We start from the raw sequence: 6135 nt of genomic DNA, 5'->3' as shown, positions 1-6135 counted from the left end.
AGTTTGAAGAATGTCCTTGAACTTGTAAATAATAACTCAGGGTTTGATAGACACACAGATTTTGTAAGAGGAAAATAAACCAATTTGTTGTAATTTTCTCTACTATCACGGGATATTGTTTCTGCAGGAAGAAAGGAATGAAAATACTGCTAGAGGTAATGGAAACAGTTATTAAATAGATGAGTACTAAAAAGAAAAATTTCCTTCCTCTGTCAAAGCCTTCTGGTGTTGCCAAGTCATTTTGTATCTGACGTTCAAGAGAGACAGGGCTGCTCTCTTCAAAGGCTCATGAGAAAAAAAAATCAACGTGGCAACATCTTAAGAACAGAGAGAGAAGGTAATAATGAGAAAAATATTTGTGTTATTTCTCAAATCAAAGAGAAATTTGAAACTATTAATAAAAAGTCTCCCTGAGAAACTAAATCTTATTAATACTAACAGGTTGACAGAATGATTTAGTGTTCTTATTTCATTTTATTTGAAAATGTGGAAGGATAATATCCTTCCACTTTAATACTTTAGTAGTTAAAGTGTTGCAGTTTATGCTTCTGTAATCCTGTGTGTGTGTGTGTGTGTGTGTGTGTGTGTTTAAATCCAACTCATGAAAGAGATGTGAGAAGTATCAGTTCACTTCTCACTGATATATGTTTGCAGACCATTAGAATATGTGTAGCCTGACTGAATGTATCATAATGGGGAGATGACTGATGCATTTCTTTACAGAAAATGGTGTCTTTTATCTCAATAATATAGTTTTAAAAATTGAGTCTGCAAGAGGATATATATATTGCCACCTCTCTTCTACAAAGCCAGAGAAAATAATTTGTCCCTTTGTAATCTCTTGAAACCAAGCTAGAATGTTTATATTACATTTGTTGAAGGATAATTTTAAGAAAAAGGTATAATCATACATCTTATATAGAAATAAAATAAGCATATGATAAAAATGGAATTAACTTATTATTAATGAGTAAACTGTTAAGATGTTACAACTAGTTCAAAAGACAATGCCAGGCATGGACACATTTTAAAATCAGAAATATTACCGTGAATTTGCAAGTGGAGGGAAACTGGCTTCTAACACAGTGATGGAGGGAGGTCAGTTGAAACTTTACCAGCAAAAATCATTTTCACATCTATAAAAAAATAATCATTTTGTTTTACCATGATCCATGCCTTCGAGAGTTTTTTGTAACTTGTGAACAGTTCAAAGTCAGTGAAATACTAGAATCAGATAATCAGGAAGAATATATGCTAAAAAATATACATAACTTTAACACATATTTGAGATACCCAGTAATATTTTTATTTATTTCAACTTTGCTTACACATCGTAATGCTCTGGTTGACATATTTCCAACTCTTTGATTATCTCTGCATATTTGTATATCTCCTTTGTCTAGTGAGGTGCTGAGCTTCTCTGGGGCAGGAATTGTGCCTTGAATTATTATTGTCTCTCCATTATTCCAAATATAGTAATGGATTTAAAAAACCCTACTTACTAAATAGTTGGTGAAATGAAATTATTGAGTATTATTGGTCAGCCTCAATGAACATTTGCTCTTTATGGCATGTTGTCGAATAATACCCAAAAATATCATTGGAGGCCTAGGGAAAAGTAGTGCTTGTTTTGTTAGGCTAAATCGTTTGGTTAACGTCTACACTCATGTCCTTAGTTGATGCTCTTATAGGATTTTATTGGTGAGCAGATAGATCTTTTGGCCCCAGCTTGCCCTAACAATCTAAAAAACATGGGTGGAACTATTCAGCCAGACAAACCTAGATTCAAATACTACTCCATTACCTTGCCCCTCAGGGACCATAGGTAAAAAATATTTAACTTTTCTGAAATTTAGTTTTCCTCAATTCTCAGTTCTTTAAATTGAGATACTACTATAACCCAATATTCTTACAAAGATTATGTAACATAGGTAAAAATTTAGTCTAGCGAGCCTTGCAATAAATACTATATTTCTTCTTTTCTTTCCTTTCGTATTTAAAACAAACAAAAAAATCACTATGAAGTCTCAACCTCTGCTGAATACAATTTCGGATTGAGATTAGCATAAATACTCATAAAATAATTTTTAAAAATGTTTGAATAATTTTAGTTTATAAGATTACTATTTAAGGTCACTTTTAACTTAAAAACTACAAATGTTTTAAAGTTAGGACAACTTTTAAAACTTTTACTTTGCTCCCTCATAATTAGAAAAAATTCTAGTTTATTAAAGGTCTTTCTCCCTTTCCACCTGTTAGAAAACAAAAATGTCACAATGTTTCTAGAATACATAAATGTAGTATCTTATCTCTGTGTTTTTCTTTTTTTTTAATTAGGGGAATTCCAGTCATCCAATTCAGAAAACAGATTATCCATTGTATTCATATTCCAGAACAGAAAATATCAGCATTCAAGCAGAACACTCAGTATATACGCAGAGTTGGTCTAACAGATTCATATTGCTTTCATGAAAATAGAATTCAAAAATCAGCCTCTTGAAAGGTCTAACTGCATGGAAAGAGATGGTATATGATATTTTCATTGCCAATCCAAAACGGGTACATTTTCTTCTTTTATATGCTGTTTCTTAATTTACAGTTTAGAGCAGGCTTTTCAGCTAAACCAGTAAAAAGACAGCATGGGAGCTGCCTACTTTAATGTAATTTTAAGCCATACTTATTCTTTTAGAAACATAGAAAAACAGAAATGAAGTTTACCCTCTTTGTTTGCTGATATTTTTATGGCAGTTCCACAGTTATTTTTATTCCTAAAAAAATTGCATCTGTTGAGGAGTAAGAGCATTTGGAACAACTTAAATTAATGTTTCATTTATGTGTCAATTATTTGTCAGAACAGTTTCGTCAACGTCTTGTCTCTTCAACGTTGCCTACTATTTAAAAACAAAAACAACATAAACAAAATAAATGGGTATGTCGTGTCCTCTGGAAAGCCTCTGGGTAATAAGAAATTAAATGCTGAAATCCCCGTCGATATGTTTAGAGATTCCTGGGCTTCCATGGAGATTTTAAGACACATGTGAGGTCACTGTCCACACAATTCTTCCATAGAGAATTTTTCAGAGACTCAAAAATTCCCTCCAAGATCATTTACGGGAAGGAAAAAAAATCTTCCAGTTTTACTGCAGCCAATTCTAATCTTTCGGGATTTGGAGCTCAGAATTTAGTAGACTGTATTATGAGCACTTCAGCATTTAGAAACCTCTCTGAAAAAAGCTGAAACAACAACTAGGTTGAGGTTTCATACTGGAGAGAGCTGGCTGGCATTCACACGGACCAGCATTCTACATGATCTTGATTTACGAGCTGATCAGATATAAAGCAAATCCTACTTCCCTCTCATTAGTGATAATTAACAATTAATAGAGCAGTAGAGAAGTCAATCTACAAGATTCTTTTCTTTTCTCATAGATCTGACTATAGGTCATGTTTTCCCTTTAGAAAATTTACCCACACTAAAATTATGTTTCAAGTAGAAAAAACGTGCCTACGTTTCCAAATTGGTTACATCATATATCAGTAAAACCTCAGAAATACTGAGAGTAATTTCAGGGAAAGGACTATTTAGAATGGAGAAAGCTTTGCCTTAGCTACTTTTTAAAGGAAGAAATATAGTCTAGATATGTAATGATAAAGAACAAAAAGTACTGGCGAGAGATGAGCGTGTATTTGAACTTGGAGTCTAGCTGTGGGCCCTAACTTGTCCAAAATTGATCTCTTCATGCTGCCTCCTACTTGGTGCCTACTCCAACGTTATTAATACTAAAGGTTATTACCGTAATCGCCCCCAGTTGCTTAAGCCAGCTATTTTGAAGTTTTTCTTAATACTTTCTTCATTACATACAACCAAACAACTACTTGGGCTATTGGTCCTACTGCCTAATTGTCCTTAGAATTTATTCACTTCTTTTTTTTCCTCCTGCCTCTTTATTTTGGTCTAATCTGGAAGCATCTCTAGTATGCCCTACAGAAACAGCTGGTAACTGGTCCCTCTGCCTCAGGGCTTTGTGTTTTTGTTTTGTTTTGTTTTGTTTTGTTTTGTTTTTGAGACGGAGTCTCGCTCTGTTGCCCACGCTGGAGTGCAGTGGCACGATCTCGGCTCACTGCAAGCTCCGCCTCCTGGGTTCACGCCATTCTCCTGCCTCAGCCTCCCGAGTAGCTGGGACCACAGGCTCCTGCCACCACGCACAGCTAATTGGTTTTTTTTTTTTTGTATTTTTAGTAGAGATGGGGTTTCACCGTGTTAGCCAGGATGGTCTTGATCTCCTGACGTCGTGATCCGCCTGCCTTGGCCTCCCAAAGTGCTGGGATTACAGGTGTGAGCCACGGCACCCAGCCTGTTGTTCTCTTTTTTTTTTTTTTTTTTTTTTTTTTTTTTTTGAGACGGAGTCTCGCTCTGTGGCCCAGGCGGGAGTGCAGTGGCGCAATCTCGGCTCACTGCAAGCTCCGCCTCCTGGGTTCACGCCATTCTCCTGCCTCAGCCTCCCGAGTAGCTGGGACTACAGGCGCCCACCATCACGCCCGGCCAATTTTTTTGTATTTTTTTTAGTAGAGACGGGGTTTCACCGTGTTAGCCAGGATGGTCTCCATCTCCTGACCTCGTGATCCGCCTGCCTCGGCCTCCCAAAGTGCTGGGATTACAAGCGTGAGCCACCGCGCCCGGCCCTGTTGTTCTCTTAATTAATACTGAATCCTATAGCTAGCGTGTTCCTCAAAATTTGACCATGTTAATCCAGCTTACTGCCCTACCCTGCCACATGCACCACACAAGAACAGGCACATGTATTTACGCTTTTTTTGTTTTTTTTTTTTTGTTGTTTTTTTTTTTAAGACGGAGTCTTGCCGTATTGTCCAGGCTAGAGTGCTTGCTTTGGTGCCATCCTGGCTCACTGCAACCTCCACCTCCGAGGTTCAAGCGATTCTCCTGCTCAGTCTCCTGAGTAGCTGGGATTAGAGGCACTTGCCACCACGCCTGGCTAATTTTTTTGCATTTTTAGTAGAGACGAGGATTTCACCATGTTGGTCAGGCTGGTCTCGAACTCCTGACCTCAGGTGATCCACCCGACTCGGCCTCCCAAAGTTCTAGGATTACAGACGTGAGCCACTGCGCCTGGCCTACTTACTCACTCTTAAAACAGATTCCTCTTAGGAGAAATTCTCAAATGTCTATAATGGCTTATTGTTCTCCAAAGTATATGACTTCTGTCTATTTCTCACACCACTGGAATCACCATATCTAAGCCCACATATCCATCTTTTAGCCAACTGGCCCAGAAGGAATCAAATTTTTTTATGAAAAATTCCCACAAAAACTCCAGAGGCTCACTGTGAATAAATGTATGGACGAGTTTAGTAGGTATCGTGTAGTTAGAAATGGATTTGTCTCTGCTGGAACTGTATAGCTTTCTATGACAAAATTATGAACATTCTGAGAAAGGATGAAATGAAGGCTAAGAAGGCAATCCGCCAGTGTGTACTACAATAGTATTAATTACATTTTAATGTGATAAAAATTACCTGGGATGCAGAGACTCATTCATCCGATACTGGGTGAAATCTGAAATTTGGCATTTCTAACAAGTTTCCAGGTGATACGGATGCTGCAGGCCCACGGTTCTCTGAGTTGTAAGGCATTAGAATGCCTTATTTGCATGTATTACAAAGTAGGGTACAGCCATTAGAGCCTGAATTTTGGGGACATAGAATCTGGGATTCAATTTCTGAATCTTATTCTTAAGTTTTCGGTGACTTTGGGAAGCTAATTAAATACTTTAAACCTCCACTTTCACATCTGTTAAATAGCATTACCCATCTTATAAGGATCTTGTGAGTATTAAAGGAGATTATATATGCACAGTGTTTTATATGGGCTTTAAAATCATTAATAAATATGACTTTCACATTCTAAGTGTTCAATAAATTAGAGTAACATTGACTTATGAAATAAAATATAATAACACTATGGTAAAAATCACTACTCTTAAAGAAATTACTGTTTTTAAAGAGCAAACATAGCTGTACAAATATCTGTGAGATTTCATTCAACTCAAAAATTTTATTACCAATGACATGAAAATATAATATTAGTAAAATCAATAAAAATATATCTATAATTCA

At 36.4% G+C, this 6135-nt stretch overlaps 1 long non-coding RNA gene across 2 annotated transcripts in view; it reads left to right on the top strand.

Annotated features, from left to right (window-relative positions):
• The first annotated feature begins 279 nt into the window (after positions 1-279).
• LOC105376637 (uncharacterized) overlaps positions 280-6135 on the top strand; it is a 292809-nt gene continuing 286953 nt past the window's right edge. For both annotated transcript variants that reach the window (XR_001748194.1, XR_001748195.2), the window contains exon 1: positions 280-337. This is a non-coding gene — a long non-coding RNA (uncharacterized LOC105376637). The remainder of the gene's footprint in view (positions 338-6135) is intronic.

The sequence above is a fragment of the Homo sapiens genome, chromosome 11 (assembly GCF_000001405.40).
Source record: "Homo sapiens chromosome 11, GRCh38.p14 Primary Assembly".
In the NCBI taxonomy this organism is placed as follows: domain Eukaryota; kingdom Metazoa; phylum Chordata; class Mammalia; order Primates; family Hominidae; genus Homo; species Homo sapiens.
Note: the sequence above shows the minus strand (reverse complement) of the source record. Positions and strands in the feature narration are given on the sequence as shown.